Source organism: Homo sapiens, chromosome 2, assembly GCF_000001405.40.
Source record: "Homo sapiens chromosome 2, GRCh38.p14 Primary Assembly".
NCBI lineage: Eukaryota > Metazoa > Chordata > Mammalia > Primates > Hominidae > Homo > Homo sapiens.
This window is the reverse complement of record NC_000002.12, coordinates 161,402,730-161,427,753: the sequence shown is the minus strand read 5'-3', so window position 1 is coordinate 161,427,753 and position 25,024 is coordinate 161,402,730. Positions and strand designations below refer to the sequence as shown.

The 25,024-nt window shown below is 42.4% G+C and overlaps 2 protein-coding genes and 1 pseudogene across 2 annotated transcripts in view, besides 6 other annotated features; all 3 read right to left on the bottom strand.

Moving 5' to 3' along the window:
- On the bottom strand, window positions 1,884-11,457 carry TBR1 (T-box brain transcription factor 1). The gene is made up of 6 exons (NM_006593.4): window positions 10,652-11,457; window positions 9,924-10,078; window positions 9,432-9,553; window positions 8,704-8,862; window positions 7,497-7,558; window positions 1,884-4,385 (listed from the first exon to the last, which is right to left on the bottom strand). The coding sequence occupies exons 1-6, from the start codon at window positions 11,341-11,343 to the stop codon at window positions 3,527-3,529; spliced, it is 2,049 nt and encodes a 682-aa protein (NP_006584.1). The 5' UTR covers window positions 11,344-11,457; the 3' UTR covers window positions 1,884-3,526.
- Window positions 3,950-4,059: a silencer, noted in NCBI's record as "silent region_12060". NCBI's record gives its function as "represses an Ori minimal core promoter by ATAC-STARR-seq in GM12878 lymphoblastoid cells {active_cell/tissue: GM12878}" and the evidence as "EXISTENCE:reporter gene assay evidence [ECO:0000049][PMID:35858748]".
- Window positions 4,528-5,049: an enhancer, noted in NCBI's record as "NANOG hESC enhancer chr2:162279216-162279737 (GRCh37/hg19 assembly coordinates)". NCBI's record gives its function as "activates a minimal SCP1, AML or CMV promoter by ChIP-STARR-seq in naive H9 embryonic stem cells {active_cell/tissue: H9 hESC(naive)}" and the evidence as "EXISTENCE:reporter gene assay evidence [ECO:0000049][PMID:30033119]".
- Window positions 10,709-11,331: an enhancer, noted in NCBI's record as "H3K4me1 hESC enhancer chr2:162272934-162273556 (GRCh37/hg19 assembly coordinates)". NCBI's record gives its function as "activates a minimal SCP1, AML or CMV promoter by ChIP-STARR-seq in primed H9 embryonic stem cells {active_cell/tissue: H9 hESC(primed)}" and the evidence as "EXISTENCE:reporter gene assay evidence [ECO:0000049][PMID:30033119]".
- Window positions 12,753-12,802: a silencer, noted in NCBI's record as "silent region_12059". NCBI's record gives its function as "represses an Ori minimal core promoter by ATAC-STARR-seq in GM12878 lymphoblastoid cells {active_cell/tissue: GM12878}" and the evidence as "EXISTENCE:reporter gene assay evidence [ECO:0000049][PMID:35858748]".
- Window positions 12,873-13,042: a silencer, noted in NCBI's record as "silent region_12058". NCBI's record gives its function as "represses an Ori minimal core promoter by ATAC-STARR-seq in GM12878 lymphoblastoid cells {active_cell/tissue: GM12878}" and the evidence as "EXISTENCE:reporter gene assay evidence [ECO:0000049][PMID:35858748]".
- Window positions 13,093-13,242: an enhancer, noted in NCBI's record as "active region_16713". NCBI's record gives its function as "activates an Ori minimal core promoter by ATAC-STARR-seq in GM12878 lymphoblastoid cells {active_cell/tissue: GM12878}" and the evidence as "EXISTENCE:reporter gene assay evidence [ECO:0000049][PMID:35858748]".
- PSMD14 (proteasome 26S subunit, non-ATPase 14) overlaps window positions 16,037-25,024 on the bottom strand; it is a 103,293-nt gene continuing 94,305 nt past the window's right edge. The window contains exons 11-12 of the mRNA NM_005805.6: window positions 18,855-18,917; window positions 16,037-16,452 (exon numbers count right to left, since the gene is read on the bottom strand). Coding sequence (NP_005796.1) covers window positions 16,354-16,452; window positions 18,855-18,917 — 162 coding nt within the window. The 3' untranslated portion in view covers window positions 16,037-16,353. The remainder of the gene's footprint in view (window positions 16,453-18,854; window positions 18,918-25,024) is intronic.
- On the bottom strand, window positions 18,084-18,200 carry RNA5SP108 (RNA, 5S ribosomal pseudogene 108; annotated as a pseudogene).

Sequence of the window (25,024 nt, the reverse complement as noted above, 5' to 3'; positions counted from 1 at the left end):
TATCCCCTGACCCCTGCCCTCAGGAGAGAAAAGGCAACTCTCTTCTAACAGGAGACGCGAACTTTGATTCCCAAAGGGCCTGCCAAATCCAGCCTCTGATTTCCTTTGAACAGCCTCAGCCTCTCAGACGCACTGACAGTGTCATTTCACCAGACACCCAAGACTTCTTGGAAGCGAGGAGAAATGATCATGTTTTAAAGGGACAAGACAGCACAATGCCTCCGAGAGGAGCGCGAAGCTGCAAATTTACCTCACGCTGACTCAGTCCACGCAGCAGATGGTGGCGGAGCTGCAAGGGAAACGACCTCCCCAATTTTTTAAAAATACTTCCTAATATCAACCAAAGCGCGTCTTTCAGAACAAGGCACTACGTTCCTGTGAAATCTATCCTCGGCTCCTAAGAGCTTCGTTTACGCACATGACACCGACTCTTTTGCTCACGGTGACTGTCCCGAGGGCGGCGGGTAGCGCCGGGCAGCGCCGGGCTCCAGGGCTCCCGCGCTCCAGTGGCCCAGCCTGGGCGGAGAGCAGAGCGCGGCCCCCGCGGCCCCGCGGCCTCGAGCCCCGGCACCCCCCTGGCTCCCCGGCCCTGCGCCCCACCGACCGCACGTGCTCCTCCTCCTCGGCGGGAGTAGGCGGCGGGGTCGGAGGAGCGCAGCCGGGGTCGGGTGGGTGATGACACGAATGCACTGCTCCACTTCACTCGCCACACATGCACCGTGTCTTGTACTTTTGTCCTCTTACTTAGTTCTTAGATGTGAGGAGGGGAAAGAAACACAAAGGAAATTCAGTCCTCGCTTTTTTATGTGGCAGACAAAACTCCACGGAACGCCGTCTAGTGGCGGAATTGTCCAGGGAAGGCAAGTTAGTTTTATCCTCCCACGAATTTTCATTTTAATTAGAAATTTGAGGCCTCCTTACATCTGTCAAACTGCAGAAAGGACACAGGACAATGTCTATGTAAAGGTAAATTTAGTCCTGTAACCTGAGGCTGGCCCAGACTAAGCAAGAATGTGGAACCATTTTCCGCCTCTTGCCTGGATCACCTCTCTTTGGAGACAAAAGTACAAAAATCGCTTCTCCACGAGGTAAAGAGTTCTGCGGACTTCACTAGACGCAGCGCCCTCCAGGTTGGGATTTCGCATTTCTGCATTTGTTCCCCAGGTGTGAATCTGGCAGGGATAGGACTGGCATAAGATTCCACTACAGAAGGGATAGAGCAGTGCCCCTACCCCCAGCCCAGATGCCTCCCAGAAGCAGTTTTAAGCTCAGTGGTTAAAAAACGACCCTTTCGCGAGTTTGTTCTACGTGTCTTTCGCCACCCTACCCCTGCCCAGTCTTCGGAAACCATCCACTCAAGAAATGTAGGCTGTTCTGTGTCTGCGTTTACAGATTCGCCACTCACCTCCAAGGCCTCGTATGTACAACCAGAATTTACTAAATCTGCGGTCAACATCCTATTTTGACATGCATTTAAATTACACCCTACTTTTGGCCAACGCCTCCCGCCTTACTCTGTGAAATTTAAAGAAATTCTTAACTCCTTATTTAAAGAACCTCCTTTTCCTGTTCGCATTATTTCCAACTTCAGAGAGAATCAGATAAATATGATGAGAAAAGTGCATATGTTTTCCTGAAAAAAGAAAATGAGCGCAGAAAAGTGAGACTTGGCTCATAGGTAGCTAAATAATTATAAATAAGAAGAAAAAAGTAGCTCCTGGAAGTACTATAAAACAAATTTAAGGGGGGAATGGGAGGTGGCTTCCATTAAACAGGCTGCCCATATTGGAGTGGGGACGGGCTAGTCTTCCTTAACCCTTAAATATCATCACCTATAATAATTAAATTATTTTCAAACTGTAAACTGCTTTCAAACACCATAGTTAGCGTTTTTACCAGGTTTATTTTACTTGTTATACACAGACGATACAAACGAGCAAAAAACAAAACGTTTCTCAATGGAGTGTGTTCTTGTATAAATTATTCAGTTCACAGACAAAACGAAACAAATATAAAAATCACAACATTAGATTTACAGAAGAGCCAAAATATACACACGTTTAGACCCTGAATTCCTATTAGGAAAAATCCCCCCATGGACTGGAATCTAGATTGAATATTGTGTATGATGCATATTTCACATTAATTTTTAAATACAAAAAAGTATAGGTTTGCTACACAACATTAGAAATCCTACTAATCTATTTCCAGGGGGATTAATGCTCCTTATCAAATATAACAAGACTTAGGGGAAAATCAGTCTTACTTGCATTAATGCTAGTGTTCTCCCAAGGAAGTCAAATTTCAGCTGTTTCTAGGTGGTGGGGAAGTCATTTTCAAAACTAAAATGCAGTAAAATATACAACTCACACAATTCATCTTCACTAGACTACACTATAGTTACCAACAATTCAGTCATCTATATCATTAATAGAGTATTCATTACAAAGATTTACAGCATATAAAGGTGAAGGGGTACTGAAAGATATTCAGAAACAGTTTGTCAGCATATTTGGCACCTGCACAGACCAGTAATGGATTTGGCACTTTGGGGAAAAACAAATAAGGCAAAATAATATTGCTGATGTCGAGCTATTCTATTTAGAAGGTGGGGGGAACATACAACTCCAGTTGACTTTGCTTTGCAGGCATCATGCCACTTAATCGACTTGCCTATGAACAGACACCTATCCTTTAAAGGTGTTTGGGTGGATTCTCCTTAGCTATTTGTGTGCATTAGGGCACATAGTAATTATTTCATGCAACGGATTGAGGAGAAGTGGGAAACCCATCACTACTGAGTATTTCATGTTTCTAGAGCCTCTTAGAATATTATCTCACAAGAAAATTAAAAGAGAGAGAAGAGAAAGTATGAGAGGAGAGAAAGAAAAGCAAAGAAAGGAAAGGAAAAAAAGGTTAAGCATGAACTGGTTTTGTGCCTTGACGAGAATAAAAACTAGCCATTCGTTACAATAAATTAACACTATGTACAATCATTTCACAGGCTTTGTTCCACTAAAATTATTAACATCCCTACCATCCATCCATCCATCCATCCACTCGGGGATAAGAAAGGACGCGCTGGGTGGGTCCAGGTTCTAGAGTCAACATCCTATGGTTAATGTGGAGGCCGAGACTTGGCGGGTCGGAATCGCTGCTGCCTGACAGGACTGCCCAGGTCTCCTAAAGGTGAAGAGTTTCATTACAAGAAAGAGAAGTAGGAGGTAAGAGAAAGACGAGGGGGAGGGGAATTGTAGGAGGATAACTCCACAGAAGAAGAGTAAGTAGGAAAACCAAAAGGTTTACAGCAAAGTTGAAGGTCGGTGAGCTAATTGCAGAGACTGCTGTGCAAAAAAGGTTAAAATCACGCTCGGAGACCTGCACTTATTCGCTGCAGACGGCCATCGAGGGTCAAATAAAATGAGTGGGTGCGCAAGGAGGAGTGTGGGGAGGCGGAGCTGGGGAAGAGCTGTGAGGGGCTGGCTGGGGGTCCGGGCCGCGGCGGGGCCGGGCGGGCAGGGGCGGCCTAGCTGTGCGAGTAGAAGCCATAGTAGCCGCTAATGTCCTTGGCGCAGTTCTTCTCGCAGTCCCGCTGGGCCAGCACCTCGCTCTTGAGCGGGGACGAACTCTCGGACACGGGCGTGTCGGCCGGCGAGATCCGCCTCCGCTTGGCCTGCTCGTAAATCCCCGAGTCGCTGGAGTCGATGGACTTGATCGAGGAGGGCGTCTCGATCCAGCTGGAATCGGACAGGTCCTTGGGCTTGGCGTCCTCGGCGGCGCCGGGCGGCAGCGGCGAGCGCTCGGCGGCCAGGCCCTCGGCCTCCTCGCCCAGGTAGGGATTGGCGCCGGCCATGCGCGCGGCGGCCGCGGCGCTGTTGGGCCAGCAGGGCAGCACCGAGCCCGACTTGGTGCCGCAGTACTGCGGGGGACTGCGGGCGCCCCAGCCCGACGGGTCGGCGTAGTAGCCGAGCGGGCGGCCAGTGCAGCCTGCAGCCTGCAGCGGCAGCGCCTTCACGCCCGCCGCCGCGTAAGAGAGCAGCGTGGCCGCGTTGCCCGCGAAGTCCGTGGCCGTGTCATAGGCCGAGGCCGCGAAGTCCAGCCGGTTGTTGGCCGGCGTCACAAACCAGCGTTGCGGCGAGGGCGCGCCCGGGTCCTCGGCCTGCTGCGGCGACAGCAGCCCGTTGGTGTGCGGCACGCTGCGGTCCGTACCCGGCCCGGGGCCCGCGCCCGCGCCCGGGTGGAAGCGGGCCTTGGCGTAGTTGCTCACGAACTGGTCCTGCAGGAAAGAGCCGGCCATGGCGTAGCGGGCCCCGGGCACGATCTGCGAGCGCGGCGAGTCGTTGGGCGAGGGGGTCAGGCGGTCCATGTCACAGCCGGTGTAGATCCTGCGGGGTAGGGAGAGAGAGAGAGAGAGCCGAGGGGTGGCGCGGAGGTCCCTTGGGGTGGGGGTGGGGGCAGAAGGGAAGGCCACCTCCACTTTTCGCCCACCCCCACACCCTCCATCTACAAACTTGCAGTCCAGGATTTCCTGGAGAATACAAGAGGCCACAGACCTCTATCATTCCCAAAATAAATCACGGAATTATAGAGGAGCCAATCTGTCTATGCAGGGACCTGAGCAAGATACAGACCATCAAGGGAACGACTTCCCTCTTCTCTTGCTCTCTCTCGTCAAGTGTACTGGGGTACTGAGAGAGGGGCACAAGCAAGGACTTTCATCCCACTTCTCCAACATATGTGTGCACATTAAGGCAGATTTACCTAGGGAGTAAGATGCTCTTTGCCCAGTGGGCCTTTCCTCTGCGGTCAGTTTATGAGTGAAATTTCTAAGCAAGGTACTCACTCCTCCACCCTTTTAAGACCTCCTGTGTCCATTTGATTGTTCAGGTGATATCTCTCCTTTTTCTAGATTGTTTCAGAAACCCCTAGGAAAAAGCCGCGCACGCAGTAATCATGAAAGACTGGCCTTCACCCGTGTTCTGGAACCCGAGGTTTGCTGCTGGAAGCCTCCAAAGTACTTAGTGTCTATTGTTTCCCCTGTGTGAAACTTTCACTCCCACCTCTACTAATACAAACAAGAATTACTACTCTGAAACAGTAGTCATCAATCAGAAATATTCTCTTAAGAGAAAAGGTGTTCTTTACTCTGACCTTCTTTTCCTAGCTTTTGGTCCGTTACCCGCAGAAACTTCGGGGCAAACCTACAGTGTACTTATCAGCCTACTCCATGCAATGGACCACTAATAATAGCTAACCTTTACGGAGCTCGACTATATGCCAGGCACTGTGAGCTAGGTAACTTTTATTATCCCACTTTACCGATGAGGAAATTGAGGCAAAAGGAAGTTAAATAACTTGCCCAACCAGCGACAGTGATTGTGTTGTTGGGAATTACCTTAGATAAAATAATCAAAGATTAACTTTAGGCCCTGGGCCTAGAAAATCCCATTAGAATTGAGAGGAAACCAAGGGTTGGATGAAGATTGGTAGAAGTGTTTTCTCATACACATGCACACATGCCTCCCTTTTTATTTAGCTCACACATAAATGTTTTAATCTTTAGTCAACAGACTGTTTTGAAGGAGAGCCTCAGTCTTGTCAGACCTTAATCCTTTGGGGAGGAGATTCCCTGGTGAGTGGCCAAGCAAGCTCCTAGTACCCCATGAACCCTTATACTTCTCCCTCTTTCTCCAAAATTGAGCCATGTCCAAGTAACCAACGTAAAAGGGGAAAGGAAGAGTGTCATGAACCACTCAACTCTTCTCTGTCCCCTAAAAATCTCAGGTTTGTGTGTGTGTGTGTGTGTGTGTGTGTGTATAGATAAAGAAGCTTTTATGAAAGATTTAAAGTGATTTAAGATCAAAGAGGAGTGGCTTTTCCAACAGAAGGCAGCCAGAGGAGGAGGGGCATGTGAGAGTTTTGCTGTGGCTGCTCAGGTCCGTTCTGTTTAGTGCACAAAATTTCCCTTCTGAAATTGAATTCCAGTTTCAAATAAGAGAAGTAGAGGGAGGCAGGAAGGGAACATAACTAGCAAGGTGCAAATATCTTCTCTGTTTATCACCACAATATTTTAAAAAGAAAAAAGCAGTCCGCAAAAGATACAGTTTAGATGCCTATCCAGGTCCCACCCACTTGGGATTACTGAATTGATTTGTGCAAAATAAAATGCTTTTGAACAGATGTTCACAACAGAATTAAAATCTCAAAATCTACAGGACTCTCCTCTAACATCTCTAGTCTCTTGAGCCATATACTTTCCACTGTGCTGGGCACACCTTTTTAGATTGTGAGGAATAGAGTAGCCAAGTTTTTATTCTGGGGAATCATATTGATGAGACTTGGTTCCTTTGGAGTACTTTTGAAGAATATATATGGTGGTTATAGGCAGTAATATCAATGACTCTCTTTTAAATTATTAGAAAATATCAGGAGGGATGGTTGGTATCTGCTTGGAGATGGAATAGAGGCAGTCACTTGTCTCTTTCTCCACACATTTAATCTATGCTAGTCAAAGGCAGCTTCAACTTTTTAGCTCTGTCTCAGGCGCTCAATGTAAGCCACGAAATTAAGATGTATGTACCCTTTCCTTTTATGGTCAGAAAACGTGGGGGAACCCCACAATCCAGATTTAGATTTATGACACTATCTGAACTCTTAGGCACTATGGACCCTGAGTGAGAATTGCAGAACAAGCCCAGAAAGCATTCAGTTTACACCTACTGTTGGCCCCAGAGAACAGCCTTTTGATAGAAAGGAGGGAGGTAAGGGAGGCCTAAAGAAAAGGGCACCAGCATGTTTAATTAAAACACACCTAGATACAAAACAAAGAGGAAATATTTTTCTTTTGAAGCTTATAAATAATACACAGCAACACCGTCTGAATCTTTCCGAAAGCCTAAAATGACCATAACAGCGGTTCTGCTCATGAACTCGCCTGTGGTGGGTGCACATTTGTATTCAGTCCGTAGCCAACTTGCACAGGAAATGCTATTATACAAAACTTGGAAATGGGTAAATAAAGGTCGCATATGCTAAGGAGACTGTTAACAACTGCCAGAGGAGCCACATGCACTTTTAGGCAGAATTGCCCGTTTCAGACAGACATAGACAATCTGAGCTGAGCATCTGCAGCGCCACATACAGTACTCGCACCCGAGAACCAGGGCAGCCTCCCCAGCCAGCCAGCCAGCCCCAGAGGCCCACCAACAACTTTGTAATCCACAGGAAAGTTAAAATTAGGTGGAGGAAACCTCTGACCAAAAACCACGCAAGTACCAAGCCACAAGGTCACCAGAGAGAAGGGGAGCCAACCAAAAAAAAAAAAAAAAAAAAAAAGAAGAGGAAGAAGAAAGAAGAAAGACGAAGAAGAAGAAGTCCTCTAAAACAACCTTGTCTTCACACATTCCAGCTTTCAAAATCCTTGTACATAATAATACACCTTTGACCTAAAGCCCAATTCCACAGCTATTTGAAAAGGAAGATACAAAGTTACTTACGTGTCATAATTATCCCGAAATCCTTTTGCAAAAGGGTTGTGATCTATTTTCAGTTGTGTAATCTGGCAAAGAAAAAAAATGAATGTTATCTCACCTTTTATACGTGAAGACTGGGTGTTTGAGAATATATCATCTGCCACTTTTACAGGGGCTTAAGGCCTACAATTTATTAAATAGCAAGGTTTTCCTAACTGAAAAATTTGAGGGATTGAGTGGAAAGGAAAAAAAGAGAAAGTATCATGAAAGTTATGAGGAACATGTTTAAATTAATGATACCTATAGCCAAAGAACTGCTTTCAATTAGCTCTCCTGTGTTTTCTAAATTTGTTCAAACTCACATTTTAAAAATGCTTGTTACACACAATGCACTTGTTCAGACAAAAATCTTTAAGGAGAACTTGAATTCATCACTAAATGTTGACTATTTTAAGTATTTTATATTTTAAAACGTTTGTCGCTTCTGACTCACAACCTGAGAAACCACAAGTTGCATCTTAAAATCAGGTTGGATTTAAAAGCATGTTTTAATTTCTGATATTATCATTTAAGTAAAAAAAAGAAACAAACACAAAAACCCCTATCACTCCTAGTAGTCAAATCAGCCACTAAAATCTGTTTTTGCAAACTTGAAAAATCAGAAGTGGTTCAAGTGCTAGAAAGCTCAATCCATAGCCCTCAGTAATTTGATTTATTGTAGTTTTCACATATATGAATGTGTATGTTCTTTTGATCTCCCAGAACAGTGATGTTTGTTCATTTCAGCCATCAGTTCTGAGATGAAAAAAAGAGAGAGAGAGAGAAATTTTTTTTTAGATGCCAAAGCTTGCCAAGAATAAAATGCACGGGGAAATCTGCTTGTTTTCTAAAGGAAAGAGAGAATTTTTTTTTAAAGTAGATTTTAATCTGTTCTAGTTCAAAGCCCAAATTAAAACTCCCAAAAGAAGAGTCTTTAGAAATCCTGGCCACCTCAAAGGTGGCCCGGGTGACCAGCGACGAAAACAAATAGAAAGCTTTTTCCCACCGGCTTGGTATTTAGGAAAGGTGCCGTGGGCAGGCCCCGAGCCCTAAGCCTTAAAACGCACAGCGGAGCCAGCTGTTGCTGATGTTAGCGCTGCTAGTACCCTAGCCTTGCATGGCGGGAGAATGTGAGAGGGTGGGAGAGATGTCTGTGCCGCCCGCCTCGCCCCCAGCCCCTAGGTCTCCTTACATCCGTGTTCTGGTAGGCGGTGACGGCGATGAACTGAGTCTCAGGGAAAGTGAACGTCTGCACGCGGCCGGGCTGGCTAGTGTCCTCCGTGCCGTCCTCGTTCACTTCCACCACATGCAGGCGGGGCTGGTACTTGTGCAAGGACTGTAAAACCACCATCTGTCCGGCGGGAAGAAAGGGGAGCGCCGGGTGGCGTGTTAACGCGGTCGCTGTGCGCGTGGCTGTGTGCGCCCGGCTGCGCGCCCGGGCCGGCGGAGGCAGCCTGCAGCCCGCCTTCCAGGCTAACTGACCGCGGGACTCGCCTGGCTGGCGGCTGGCTGGCTGGGGCAGACCGGCTTTCGCACCTCTGGGAGCGAAGATAAGCCGGGGCACCGGAAAAAAGGGGGAAGCCGACCGCCCGATCCTCAGGGCCCTTCTCCTAGTCCTCCTGTAAGGAGGAACAAAGATTTCCACAACCTGCAGATCTTGTGGGGTTTCTTCTCAAAATCAATCAGTATTAGTACTTGGGAAGGTCGGGCACTCCAAAATTGGGCCGACGGAGGTGTTGCCAATGAGAACAACTTTACAGATTTAATATAAATTTGGAGGGTGGAAATACAATTTTTAAGTCTTTTTAATGAAGCAAAGAAACGTGTATCCAGTTCCATATGCTGCTTTACACTGACGAACTGGATGTCAGGGAGGAAGGGGTGAGAGAGAGAGAAAACACGAGCGCTTGAGCCACTGACCTGCCCATTGTTATTTGAAGCTCCTTTGTTGTTCGTAAGTTTTAATTTTCCAAAAGAGATTTCTTGGCGCATCCAGTGAGCCCCAGTGTTGGGGGAATCCGGATGCATATAGACCCGATTTCCTAGAGAAAGAAATACATTGTTTACATATGCCCCTGGCACTGCCCAGTCCCAGCTCCTCACCACGTAGGACACACACACACACACACACACACACACACACACATACACACACCTTACTCCACCATGAAGCCCATTAACTGGGGCTTTTTTAGGCCATTCTTTCTTCCTATTAACTGGGGGTGATTAAAATAGCTTTTGCATAATCCTCCCCCTTCTCGCAGCTCAGTCTGTCCCCCTGTCCCCCTCGTTTCCTTTTAGAAGTCATTGGCCGATCGTTTTAAAAGTCGCTCGAGCCAGTCCACAAAGGCTTTAATTAATCATTCTCACCTAAATAAGTGTCAAGAAAATGTGTTAATTGGAAGGACTTGCCTTGCACATTGGTGTCCGCTTTGCCGCAAGGAACCCATTTGCCTCCTTGAAACCTCCAGTGATTGGGATCCGCCAAAATCACATCCACAAAAATATTGTAATGAGCCGTGGGATCGAGACCAGAAATGTTAAAACTTAAAAAAGGAAACATGCGCCTATTTAAATTAAGGGGTGGGGGGAGAAAACAAGGAAAAAAGAAACATAAATGTTAAAGATTAAATGCAAGAAGCGGGGCGCCAGTTAGCAAAGCAAAACTTGTACTTGCAGCAAATAGGCGAATATTTGCTGGATTAGAAAAAGGGTGGTGGGAGAAGAAAAGAAGTGCAACCCAAATCAGGGAGAGCGGCGGGTGAGCTGGAGTGGGAAGGTGGCAGTTATCACTGCCCAGGTGGAGAGCGAGGTTGGCGACCTGCGTCTCCACCTGTCCGTGCATGCCAGTGTTGATGCGTCCCTCCCATCGCCCAGCCGCTGGCCAGGGCTCTTCCTTTTTCTTGCCTTCCTCTGGCCACTGACTGGCTCTCCCACTATGTTCCTAGAACGGGGTCCCCCCCACCAACATCACCCTGGCGGTTATCCCTTCCACTTTCCCCCTTTCCAAAACTAGCCAACTCTAGGGCGCCTTCCACTCCGCTCCCGACCCCAAATCGTCGCTGCCGCGGCAGTCACAGCCTAGGTGCACTTGTCCCCGGCTGCGCCTAGAGCAGCGGCAGCCAAAAATGTAGTATTACCTTCCCTGTTTGGTGATGATCATCTCCGTTTGGTGCCGGTGAAATTTCAGCCAAAGGGGCCTGTTGCACAGGTACACCTGTGCTTTGCCGGGCACCAGCCCCGGCTGGGTGGAGGAGAACTGGTAGAACGGAGCTCCTTGGTAGGAGTGGCCGTACTGCTGTGGGTAGGGGTAGCCGGCCGTGGGGTATCCCTGCGGCGAGGAGTTGGACAGGAGGCTGTTGTAGGCTCCGTTGGTGATGACCGGGTGGTGGGCCATGTAGCGGCTAGGGCTGCCGATGGAGAAGGCGGGGTGCGCCGGTCCGTGCTGGCCGGGGTACGGGAACATGGCACTGGGAGCAGTGGCCGCAGACTGTGGCTGGCTGGACTGAGAGAGGAGGTAGCGATCTGCAGCAGAGCCATCGAAACTGTGACGAAGCTCAGAGACCCCGTCCAAGACAGGAGAGAGTTTACTTCTCTGGACGTCCCCTGGTGAGTCCTTGGAGTCAGGAAAATTGTCTGTATCTGACTGATTCGTCATCCCCCTGGTAATTTTTTTCAAAGGTGAACTTCTCTCCAGGTTGTCAGTGGTCGAGATAATGGGATGATCGTGCAAGACAAGCTCGGATCCGCCTGAATGTGGGTAGCTGCTGCTCACATTGAGAAATTTCTTGGAGAGCATGATAGAAGGAGAAAGGCAGTGCTCCAGCTGCATAGCTCTAGAACCTGAACACTCGCCCTCCCGTCCCTGGTTTTTAAAGTCCTATTTATCATAAACTAGAAATCCACAGACCCCCTCACTAGACAGAAAGCACTTCAACCAGCAAATGCTTCTCAAAGGTTTGATTTACTTTTTTTTTTCCCTGGGAGAAGAGATTGGCCAATTGACACTATGCAGCAATCAGAAAAGGCTCACTTTTGATCTTGCTGCTTGTGCAGCCGATGAAACGGCTCCTGCCATTGGTTAGCTGCTGACAGTAATTTAATTAGATAGACATTAATTAGGATAATCACCTGGCTCCTGGTAGCGACGATCATGGCAAATTGAAGGGGATGATTTTATTGTTGGCTTGGGGGGTGGGGAATGTGTGTTGGTTTACGTGAGCACTGTTGTGTCACCTTTAAGCTCTGTGACCACTGCTTTAGGAAGATTCAAAGATGTGGAATTTACTAAACATTTCCTACCTTCCCCCCCTTCCCCCCTTTAGAGCGGAGGGGCGGAGGAGGGAATTCGACGATGCTAGGAGACTTTTCGGATCTGAATGAGCCAAATATTCAGTTGAATGTAACGATTTCAAGTGCAAAGTATACAAAGCGCGAGCCGGTGGCCTCTTCTCGCCCTGTAAAAGTTCCAGAGTCTGTCTTTTCCAGCTAATACAAAAGCACACAACACCTGAGCTGGTGCTTTGTGAGCAGATCCTACATGTCCTCGGCGCCCCCACCCCCACCTTTTAAACTGCAAACATAAATAAATAAATCCCTGCTGCTGAGAGCCACAGCGACAAGCAGAAGGGGGGAGGAGAGGGGGCGAAAAGCAGCAACTCACCCACCAATCCACCCACCTCAGGAAGGTTCGGTTTCTTGGTTGAGTACAGAAACAGTGACAATCTATGATCTCCTTTTTAAGTTTTGAAATAATCATAAGCTGTCGGGCTGAAATGCCTTAATGTATTTGCAGTGATGTTTACCGGCTCTTTATTAAATATTTTATCAGCGCACTTGGTTGCAGATTATCTGAAGAACATCTAACTGGGGGCAGGCGCCATGCATCCTTCTCGTCCCTCTGCATTTCCTTCTCTCTGAGGTACTGGCTTGGCGACAGGTTCAAAAGCCTCGCCAGGAAAAGAGAGGGCCGAGTCCCCGTGCAAATGGGCTCGTCAGAAGCGCTGATCTGGGGAGACAGAGTGGAAGTGGTGTCAACACAGTAATCGCTACTGAAAACGTGTGTGTGTGTGTACGTGTGTGTGTTTAATGTTTATATAATCTGGAGGGGAGAAAAAGCATCCATGCCAATAATTTTTAAAAGGAAAAAGAATCTAAAGAGGAATAGAAAAAAACCAATTTAAAAAGATGTTGGCACAAATAAATAGCACGAGGCCCGAAGAGACCCCGAGGTGTAGGGAGGAAGTCTCCCAGCACCGGCTCTACAGAGGAGCCCAGCCCTCGGCCTGAGCCAGAGGGCCAAGAGCGGCAGAGGCTTTTTATCTGCCCAAAGCTGCCTCCCGCGGCCCGGCGCTCGCTGACCTGCCCTCCCGCGGCTTTCCTCCCGGACGCCGAGCCGCGCGGGAATGAGCAGGAGGAGCGCCGCCCAGAGCTCCGCTCGGCCCCGAGAGCTGGCCGGCCCGAGGGCGGGCTCCGCCCGGGAGACTGAAGGAGCAAGGGGTGAGCTGCGTCTGGCGCAGACCCCAGGGGCACACGCTCTTCCCGGGCTGGAGGAGCGGCCTGGGCACCTCAGCCGGGGGAGCCTCTGGCTTCGAGCGAGCGCGTCTGTCCTACCCGGGCCGGGGCAGCTCCCGGAGTGAGAGCAGCGCCTGGGGACATTGGGTGGGTCCTGAGCATGGGCGGAGACGGGTTATCCAGACTCGCCGCTTCGCCACTGTGGTGCATTTTCAGAGCTGCGCCTCGGTGGGCCGAGCGGTCAGCGCTGAGCCGAGACTGCGCCCCTCCAGGCGGGCTGAGCGCCTTGGCTGCAGAGGGCACCAGCTGCGGCCTCCATCAACGCGCCGCGGGCAAGGCCCTGCGCTGGCGGCCTGGGCAGGGCAGGTTGTTGACCAGATGTCCCAGACTAAAGCCGAGACAATTTTCTGGGATAAAAAGAGAGCCAGACCCATTTTTCCTTTCGAAAGCAAACCTCAGCTCCTGGCCAGGAAGCTTCATAAACAAGCAGTCTTAGCTGTTGAATCGTTGGGGTGCGGGGGAGGGGAGTAGGGGATGCCATTTGACACTTGTTTTTCTGCCCTTGACCTTCTACTGCCATTTGCCCTCATGAGAGGCTTTTGACCTCTTGACTACTTTTGGCTACTTTTGTTTCCTTCTTTCTCCATCTTCAACTTCTCTGTCCCTGAGTGCCTCTCCCTCCGGTGCTTCGGAAGACAGTACTTTCCTCCGTTCTCAGTGGGACAGAGCCTTAAATGTGTAGAGGTGAGACATCACCTGGGCTCTTTTTGAGGCTTTGCCATTCTCGACACCCTAAACTGTTTTTTTTTTATGCTAAATTGAAATGTTAAGGTGTTAAAGGATAGAAAAGGGAAAGAGTGCACCTCCTTCAGAGTTTTTAAGGAATTGAATTGATGTGCTCTCTGACCCACTTTGGATTATCAGTACCAAATTCAGTGATTGCTCACATATAGGGTATGCCTTGAATTTATATATACTAAGGAAAATGAAGGCTTTCCTCAGAATCACCACATGTGCCTGTGAACCGTACTTCTAAAAGAAGGCCAGGGCTTCTCAAACCTTAAAGTGTATATGAACCACACCAGGATTCTTTATTATGATTCAATAGGCCTGGGGTGGGGCTTGCTTTCTGTATATATAACGAATTTCCATAAGACCCAGATGCTATTGGTCCAGGCAGATGACACTTTGAATAGTGAGGCCGGAGCTTTCAGTGCCCCCGTATTAGTCTGAGAGAAAAGCAGGGACATTTCTGCACTAGAGACAAACAGTTTTGTTTCCAGAGCTGCTTTACCTCTGCATGATGGAGGGGTAATTGCGTGCACATGTGCGCGCATACATATACAGTCTTAAACAGCTTACTAAGTTTGTGATTAAATGCATCTTTTCAGTGCCTAACTGGGCCTGGGACATCAGGCTGCTGCGAAAATAGCTGTACATTCCAAGACAAAGGTGTTCACTGAGCCTTGCCTCTTAGGGCATCTTGATTTTGATCGACTCCAAATCTACAAAAAGTAATGTAGGTTTTTGCTAGCAAAGATTTTGACAAGGTTCTGAAACTGGGAATGTCACCAACATGAACTAAGTGAGAGTAAGTGGTGTGTGGCTATAGGGAGTCCAGGAAGATGGGGTGATCAAATAAGGGCAAAAAAACAGGCAAGGTAAGCCTTTCCAGTCACAGGACTCAGGATATTTTCAGAGGACTAAGTAGAAAACAAAAACAAAAACAAAAAAACCCTTTCAACCCAAATATTGAGAATAGTTCTTGAAATGTTAAGGCCTTCTTCTGAGGGCACTGTACCCCCCAAAAAATCATTGACTAGCACTCATTAACAACATCTGTGAAATAAGTTATAGAATCTTATTTGCAAAGGGAAAAATCATATCCAAAAAGCCTGCACACAAGTTTGAATTAGGCAAAAGAAAATTTCACTAACTTCCACTTATATTTGAATTTTAAATGGTTAAATGTAATCCCAACAACTTAAATTAATACATATTACATGTCCTACATAAAATATACTGTCACTATATCTGAAACAGTAAACCACAGGACAAGCAAGAAATGCTCAGAATACTTCTTACTCCACCAAAAAAGATACTGTGAAACATACTGGGAATTTAAGCCATTTTGACTTTCAGTTTCTGGTAACTTCACTAGGGAACCAATAAGAGCCTAGACTTGTTCCAGTAGGACAGTAATTTGATCTATCACAGCACTCATAACAGTTCTAGTAGGTTAAGTTAAATTGCAAGTCCATGTAAAACATTCCTTTAATGAAGCTACAGTAATACTCTCACCATATTTTCACAAGGGTGCAGACTAGAATTAGATCTTTGTCTCTGTATCTTTTGCCATACAAATGGTATAATCAGTATGGTTCTGAACCGTAAGTAATAACAGGGGCAGTTACTTTTGTACATCACATTAGAAGTTGGTATTAGCCATTTTTTTTTCTCTATTAGAAAACTGGGTAGTCCTAATTTAGAAAAGATGAGACCAAACAATAGCAAAATTATTGCTTATAAGCTTATATTAAACTCACATTATGACTACTTTTCTCATTTTGCTTTTTAGACATATACTTTCTGTGGCTATTTTAGATGAAAGTCCAGTAGAGTTTGCAGCAGCCAATTCCCAGTTTCAAAACTGTTGGTAGAAATGTACTCTTTTAAAACATGATAAAGTCTAAATTAAAATTGCTCCCTTTTCTTTGTAAATGTACTCTTCCAAAATCCTAAAAGTATGTTTATAAGATAGTGAGTATACAATATTTAGCTTATGACAAATGCTAATAAAATGTCAACATTTTTTCTGAGTTACTCACTAATTAGGTAGCCACTCATTAATGGAAATCATTATACATCTGTGAAGTTTTATCACACTGATGTTTTATGTGTTGTAAGATCTTAAAATGCAAACGGAAACATATCTTTGTGTGAGATTTCTAGACCACTGTCAAATGTTATTCCATCAATCCCACCCATTGCCAAAAAGATCTCAGGAGGCATAGACTGTAAATGTATTTTATTTTGTAAGTGACAATCAAAATATATTTGTGCTACTGATTTTTTCAAATATTAAATGGGATCTTAACAAAATTTGTCCACTTTGATGTATTCATGTATAACTTTAGAATCTGCAAAGACCCTGACTAAAGAAACAGAAGTAATTGCACAACTGAGACTGAAGGTGTTACAGTGCTGCAAATGATGCCAGATGTCTTACATTTAGCCAAGTACACCTTCAGAGGTCCCTTGATTTTGAGCATTAGGAACAACAGAGGAATATACACTGAAGGCATCATTAATAGCGTTTTTCGTTGCTTTATTTAAATACGACAGTATCCAACATAGCTGCTAAACACTGGACAATATTTGAGGTCATAAGTACATCCACATGTTCCTCCAAATGACGTTTGGGGTCCTAAAAGAACAAAAATGAGGAAAGAGAAAACAGAACCATATTACTGGTAGATAAATTACTTAAATTTTTTTCAGTAGCTGATGAAACTAGTAAAGAAAGCCAGACCTTACTTAAATATTTTACAATTTAACTTTACTAGTATATTGTTACATTCTTAGAATTTCTAAATCAAAAAGTTAAGTAGCTAATAAAATAATAGATTACACAATGAAAGCTTGATTTATACAATGCAATGACTATGTACCAGAGATTTTTATAAAGAGTAACAAGGAATTCTATACAGCTCACAATCATCTGATTTTTTAAAAAATTTCATTTATATATGTATACCTGTCTGAATATATGTGTATATTCTCTACCGTTCATATATCTTGAATGTCTGAGAGAATGCTTAATTCAAAGCGGACATACCAAAGGGTAAGAGTTCAGTGTGAATTCTCAGCACTTCTTCTATGTTTTATAATAGCAAAAATCAGAATTCTGTACAATTTTAATATTTCAAGAGTAGTGCTTTAAATGATTCAGAAAATATTCTTGGATCAAAAGCTGCCGTTTGTAGTTGAAGAATTTAAATACAATTTGGATCAATTCTAAAATGTTAAGAATGTTTCATGTAGCTATTTTGAAAAAAATGTATCATAGCAAATTATACAGGTGCAATCCTTTAACTTAAACCTGATCAAATCTATTTTTGAAATAGACTGAGTTAAAAAGGAGGCTTAAAATTGTATTGTAATAAACTAATTTAAATTAAAATGCTTAGTATGTATTTATGTTTTAGGCAGAATTAAGTATTTGAGCAAAATTTCAGAGCTTTGAAATAAGGAATATATATTATACACAATAGAAAAATTATAATTTAAATGATTATATTCTTACGATTATTGTTAAAATACCCAAGACTCCTAACTTTAAACAAATGTTCATTATTGGAATTATTTCTTGGCCATGCTTTTCTAACCCTTATTTTAATACACTATTTTTTTTTAAACAACCCAGAGATACAACATGTTACAAATAATTAAGTGACTAGACTACAATATATTTTTTATTTCAGAAATAAGTCTTAGGGCATTTTAGGTGAAAAACACTGAGAAACACTGGCAGGAGAAAAAAAGATATTGGTTTAATTCCATTACAGACAGTTTTGCTTTTGCCATGCAGTAGGCCAAACCAGTGAGGTAATAACTATATTTTTAAAAATGATTCTGATGATTATTAAACTTTGCCAATTACATATTTTTCAGTTTCATTTTGTATTTAGACCTTTTATTTGCTGCTTTAAATCTGTATCAAGAAACTATGGCCTTGGAAAGGCATTTATTCAAAAAACAGTTACTGAATTCTATAAAGTATAAGGCTCCAAGTTGGTGATCTAGTATTATGATTAAAATAAGTAGTGGAAAAGATAACAAGGGTGATATCACATAAGATGAGAAAATAAAATGAACTGTATTTCATTTTGCTTTTTGAGGGTACTTGTTTTTAAACTGTAATACTTAGAAGGTAGTGAAATTTGATTTTCTCATTTATGACATATGATAAAGTCAGACCTTTGCCCCTACTGCTCTGTTGGAGTAATTCATTTTATAGTGAATTGGTAACACGCTTCCCTCAGTTATCTACATTACTTCTTGTGGCAGCTGGGTGATTCTTAGAGATTTCCCATCCAAGAATGGTCCTGGCCCAAACCTACATAGCTTGTGAGATGTGATGGGATCAGAGCATATGGTAGGATGGCTGAAAGCAAAGACAGCTTAGTGTCTTGCATCTGAAATATCAAGATTCTGCCAACATCAGCAATATGATAACCATGTTCCATGAAATGGGGAAAAAATGTAATCAACATTCTTTAAAAAACAGTCTAATTAATCTGTAGATTCCTTTAATTGGTTGGTGTCTTCCCCCACCCTCAGATAATAGAGACTAAAATATATATTTCTTCTTAGAAAAGTGAAAGAGCAAATACTTAAAGCCCTTTCTCTTCACTCAGTATAACCCAATAAGGCTCTAACCTTTCTCAGGAATATTACCTACATATTGATAAAGTACATGATTAACAAAACTTGTTACACATGAAATAAATCTACCCTTCTATTATCTTATTTATCTGTAGGTAAAAATAATACTTAAAAAATTAATTCAGGATACAAGTGTCCTAATTTGTTCCTAGTAAATTATTTTCACTGACGATAATATCTCTTAGGTATTTGTGATTTACTTCTCTATAGAGAACCTGACATCAAATAAATTTAGTGACCTTTACAATTAGTATCACATTTACATGACAGAAGAAAAACATAGAGTGGACAGGAAAAAAATTATATAGGCCCTAAAACAGTTTTAACTCTATAAGAACATGTTATTATGCAACTGCATAACTTATTAACAGTACACCTCACCTGCTTGCCAACATTCTTTATTGCCAGCTGTTCAGGTGTCATCTTATCTTCTTCTTCTACAGCCTGTGAATGAAACACAAAGGACAGAGTTTAAAATTATAAATCCTCTATTCCCACTGCAGGATAATCACCAAAAATAATGATGACCAGAATTTTCATTCATACAACTTTTATTCAAATAATTTACTGAACAAATAAAATTATGCTAAACTTCAGAATAACCTTCAGGGCAATAAAAACTATCAGCATCATCATTTTGAAAACAGACAAGAAATACACAGAAAGTATTGAAAATATCAAACAGGATCACTAAATGATTGTGTTGACCATTTGCAAACTGTTACTGAATTCTTCAGGAGATGGGAGATGGAAGTACCTGAGGTGGCACTTACGGCACTGTGGTACTAATTCTGTTCTGTTGCTCTCTCCTTTTCCTATTTGCACAGTTCTTTCCCAATTTCCCATTTCTCTGTCTCCTTTTTTCTTATCAATCCAGCCTGCCCATAGCTTCAGTATCTATTTAACTATCAGTGGCACTTAGGATCAAAGGAGCTACCGACTTTTGATCCACTAAACAAATCACATGGGTTTCTCTCTTAGTAATTTCACATCTTTACATCTCTAAAAGTAATACATGTATTCAGAAAAAAATCTGAAACTACTCCACATGAGTGATCTTTAGTAACCATGAAGAAATTGTCATTTGAAGTTTTCAACAAAAAAATTACCTGAACTAAAAACCAAATATAATCAAAATTAAATTAACCCAAACAATACATGAAAACCACTTTCCACTACTTTCAAAGTTAGCTACAAACTCTTCTATGTATGATCATAACTTTCTGGCAGAGTAATTCTGAAATAATTATAACATTTAGATTGGCTACCACTACTGCCCTCCTCTCCCAATAATGGCACCAATATAAAACCTCTTTATTGAGAATTTCACACGTAAGAAATCTTAACAGTTTGGGTATGTTATGGCCTGAAGACAAGACTCTGTATCAGGTGAACTTTTAATCTATGATTTATTCATAGCATCTGATAAATGGAAAAAAAAACAAGAAAATTTAAGGATCACTAACCTTAAGAAATGCCAACACAGCATTTACCACAAAAAGAGTTACAAAAGGAGGTGAGATGGTGGTGGCAGAAAGCAGGGAACCAAAATCCCAGTGAGGGTTAGATTTGGATACTCTGAACTTTATAATCTCACAGCTGCCAAATTTCTTCATGTGCGAACAATGAACATGTAGGAAATGTAATCATCAGACATTCCCCATAAACTGGGAAGTTTGGCTGCATTTCACACCTTCTTAATAGTTTTGTAAACAGAGAACTTGAAAATGAGCAAAGATGGCAAGTGTCTAATTTTATAAATGGACAAACTATCTAGAGAATTTTCCCCAGTAGAACCTGCCTAAAGAGAAAAGATAGTGAATAGGTATTGTATCTACTGATTATCAAAGGATACTTATTTACAACACATCATTAGGAAATGCATTTATGACTCATAAGCCCGAAAGAAGAAAAAGTTAATAACATGCCAAATCTAGACAGAGAATATGCTCATTTTCAGAGTCAGATGTCACTCTATTATTTTCAGTTATAAAAGTATTTCCTAACTGGGAAATTGCTTCTCCCACTATTCAATGTTTTACATAAATGGAAACATTGACAAAACATATTAAGAGTATGTTTTTCTAAATTACTTTCACAAATTGTGACACTAAACTTTATTGACTTAAAAGCACTTAGATGAATGGAACAATTCACATAAGTTTGTACTCCATACCCATTCAGTGTTAGTTGTTCTGGGTACATGCCAACAACAGTACTTACTACAGTATTGGAAGGAGGCAAAAATTTTGGAATTTGGCTCAAAATACCAATCCATGTACAAAACAGTTATTAGGGAGTATTGCGGAATATTGCAAACAACAAAGATGGTAGATAGACAATGAAAGATGAAGGTCAAAAAGGACTTGAAGTACTGATCTTATTTGAAAAGTTAGGTATAAAAAGCGCTAATTCAAATTTTAAAAATCTTTTACATAATTTACCCACTTTACCAATTAGTTTTTCCATTCCCAATAATTAAAAGAGAGAGTTCACAAACTCTTTGAGAAGTACAGATGGTAAAAAGTACTCCCAGCCATAGATGCCATCTGGGAAATGAGGAGCAGCTGTAGATTTAGGCATATACTAAGGTTGCAAACCCCCATGACAAAAGAGTAAGCATATCTCTTCAATTCTAAGATATTCCAAATCAAATGCCTAAATATTTTCTCTATCTACCCAAGTTACCTGTATCTCATCTACCATCTGGGCAAGACCAGTTTGTCTTCATTCACAGTTCTAATCTGGCTAGTTACCAGGAAAAACGTAAGAAATGATTGCAGCAGAAACAAATGAAATTCAGGCACAGGCAGTGTCCTCACTAGGGAACTTCTGTGTTTATGGCAACTTCTGTGATTTGGCGTCAAATTTTGCTTTTGCATTCGTGCTCTTCGGTTTACTCAACCAACAAAAAAGCACTGAAAATGTTTGTGGCTATTCACACTAGAAACGTTTTTAACAGTTTATCAACAAAGACCCCCAGATGGCTATCCCATCATGCACGGTCTGCACAGCTCTAAGAAATCCTTGGAATTTGGTCTGTTATGTGATCATAATCCCCTCCAATGTATCCCCTATCTTACAGAGGCTTTTACTAAACCCATTAACCTCATTCTCTTTTTTCTGCTAATGGTCAAGTTTCTTATATGGAAAATCTGTATCTCAAATTCCATCACTTTATTTACCCTTTTACAAACACTGATGGGATCTTTGGCACTTCACTAACACTCTTAAGGATCTCCAGGAGGTCAATTCCAATGGATTTTTTGTTGTTTTTGTTGTTGTTGTTTTTAACTTTCTGAACATACTTAGAGCTACTCCAACATCTGTCTTCTCTTCTATTCCCTTAGCCTTTGCTTTTGCCACCCTGTATCTCTCTTATTCCACATCATACTTCTTTCACTATTTCTTTGGTTTCTTTTTCCCACATTAACATGTTAACTTTGTTCGCACTATAACATGCCATGATCCCATTTAAATATCTTTTTAATATCACCATTATGGCAATTTTTACATAAGACAGCACAAACTGCTAAAATGGCATATACTAATTTTTCACTATTAAGCAATCAATGCATAACTGCTAGTGGATTTCAAAAATATGTATTTTACTTCTTTCATGATTTTTAAAGTATTGACTATATAAACAATATTATGTGTTATATGAAGACATTAAAACTAGTTTTTCTACTACCATCACTAATTAAACATCAATATAGGCATGATTTTACAAATATTAATTTACTGAATCCTTAAAACATCTCAATAAAGAAGTTAATCTACACTTCATATGTTAATTCCAGCAAAATTTCTAGCATAAAAGGAATTTTTCAAACTCTTCTTGCTCTCAAGGAGCTCACATTTGGGCTTTTCTCAAATCATAATGCAGTGTAAAACATACAAAAAAGGAGTGTGCACAAAGCACGATGGGGACATAGGGGTTAAGTAAATGTACCTAACTTTTTCTTGTGGATCACCTGGGGAAACAGAGGGAGAGTCAGGATGAGAGTATAAAGAATGCATTAGGGAGGAACACATCATGTGATACTTAGTAGTAACAGGGAAAGGGAAAAACCATGGGAGAATGGCTGGATGTGGAAGAAGAGCAAGAGAGATGAGTCCAAAGTTTCAAACCTACACGATGCCTAGAAAAATGAGTGTCAGTTATAACCAAATTGGTAGAGGGAACTGTCATGAAAAAGTAGAAAGTAGGGTAGACAATATTGCTTACTCTTGAACAGCAGCATCTGAAGTAATGAACATGTAACTGGAAAGGTCTCAGACAGTGGAGATGATAATACATTTCAAATGAGAGGAAATGAAGAGATTTCAAAGTTGTTGGCATTGCTAAACTATGAAAACAGACTTTTAAAGAAAGGTATAAAAACAGAAGAGCAGAAAGGCAAGGGCTGAATCTTGGAAATGCTCATAGCAAAGGCAGCAGAGTGTGTAGTTGCCAAAAAGTCAGGGGAACCACGGGAATGTATGGCCATGGAAGTAAAAAGAGACTTCAGAAGTTCAAAGGTATGATGTGAAGGCAAGAGGACAAGGAAAATAACTGAAAGAGATGCAAGACTCAGTGCACTAAGAAAATAAATCACTCATCTCTTTTAACAAGCTGGAAACAGCAAATTGTCATCAGCGCCATACTCTGTCATGAAAAGGTTATGACTCCGAGAATACTGGAGGCAGGTGGAAGGAAATGATCAATGACGTAGGAGGTTATATTTTATCCAGTTAGCCTCAAGGAAGGGAGAGGGGCAAAGGGTGCCATGATAGAGAACAGTTGAAGATTAGGAAGAAAGGTGCCCCTTAGAGGACATTGCATTTCCTTAAATTTTAGTTTATATTATGTTAATATTAGTTAATAACAGTGCTTATGATTGGCCACTTAATAAAGTTACATTTTTGGTAGAAAAATACAAGTATAGCATAATTTCATTCATTTAATAAATACTTATTGAGCATCTACCATTTATCTGGCAGTGTACTAAAGATAAAATGAGACAATATCTGAATTCACAGAGCTTATAGACTAGCTGTAAAACCAGGAAATTAAAAAGTAATAATTAGGCTGGGCATAGTGGCTCACAACTGTAATAATCTCAGCTACTCAGGAGGCTGAGGGGGAAGCATCACTTGAGGCCAGGAGGTTGAGACCACCTAGGGAAACACATCAAGACTTTGTATCTTAAAAGAAAAAAAAAAATAGCCAGGCATAGTGGTGAGTGCTTGGAGTCCTAGCTACTCAGGAGGCTGAGGCAAGAGTACTGCTTAAACTCAGGAGTTCAAGACTGCAGTGAGCTATGATAGTATCATGCAGCCCGCCTAGGCAACAGAGCAAGACCTGGTCCCTTAAAAAAAAAAAAATTTAAATTCATTTGATAGAAGAACAAAGTTCTACTGGCATATAAAGAAGGAGTAAATAGCACTCATTTGGTGGTATGGTGAGGGTCTCAAAAGTGAGAAAGGGTTAGGCTGAGAATTGAATGAAAAGGAGTGGGGATGGGAATATAGTAGTAAGGAGTGCTTCAGGCCAGGAAGCAAGAAAAAGCATTATAAGTTAGAAGAACTGCAAATTACTCAGTATTTCAACAACACAACAGTGATAAGAAATAAAGCAACAGAGGCAAGCAGGAGCCAAATGGGGTTTGGACCTCATTCTAAGGCAATGAGAAGTCAGTCATCAAAGGCTTTTTAAAAGCACGGTAGTGACATGAACCAATTTGCATTTTTAAAAATGAGGTACATTTCACATAACATAAAATTAACCATTTTAAAGTGTACGATTCAATCACATTTAGTGCCCCAATCACCTGTATTCCAAAACGTTTCATTACCCCAAAGGAAAACCTAGTACACATTAAGCTGTTACCTCCCCATTCCTGCCTTGCCCAAGTCCCTGGCAACCACACATCTGTTTTCTGTCTCTATGGATTTGCCTAGTCTGTTTTTTTCATATAAATTGAATCATATAATATGTGGCCTTTTGCATCTGTCTTCTTTCACTTACCATGTTTTAGAGGTCCATCCATGTAGTAGCATGTATCAGCACTCCATTCCTTTTTATGACTGAGTAATAGTATGTTGTAAGTACATACCTCAATTTGTTTATCCACTCATCTACTGATAGACATTTGGATTGTCTCCAACTTTAGCTAATGTGAACAGTGCTACTATGAACATTCATATACACGCTTTTTGTTTGAATACCTATTTTCAATTCTTTTGGGTATATACTTATGAGCAGAATTGCTGGCTCATATGGGAACTGTCTGTTTAACTTTTTGAGGAACCACCAAACTGTTTTCCACAGTGGCTGTACCATTTTATATCCCCACTAGTAATTTCTTCATACCCTTGGCAACACTTGTTATTTTTCATTATTTTGATTCTAGCCATTGTGGTTTTGATTTGCATTTTTCTAATGACCAATAATTGATTGAACATCTTTTTTATGTGTTTGTAACCATTTGCATATCTTCTCTGGGAAATTTCTATCCAAGTCCTTGCCTAATTTTGTACTGGATTGTCTTCTTGTTGCTGCATTG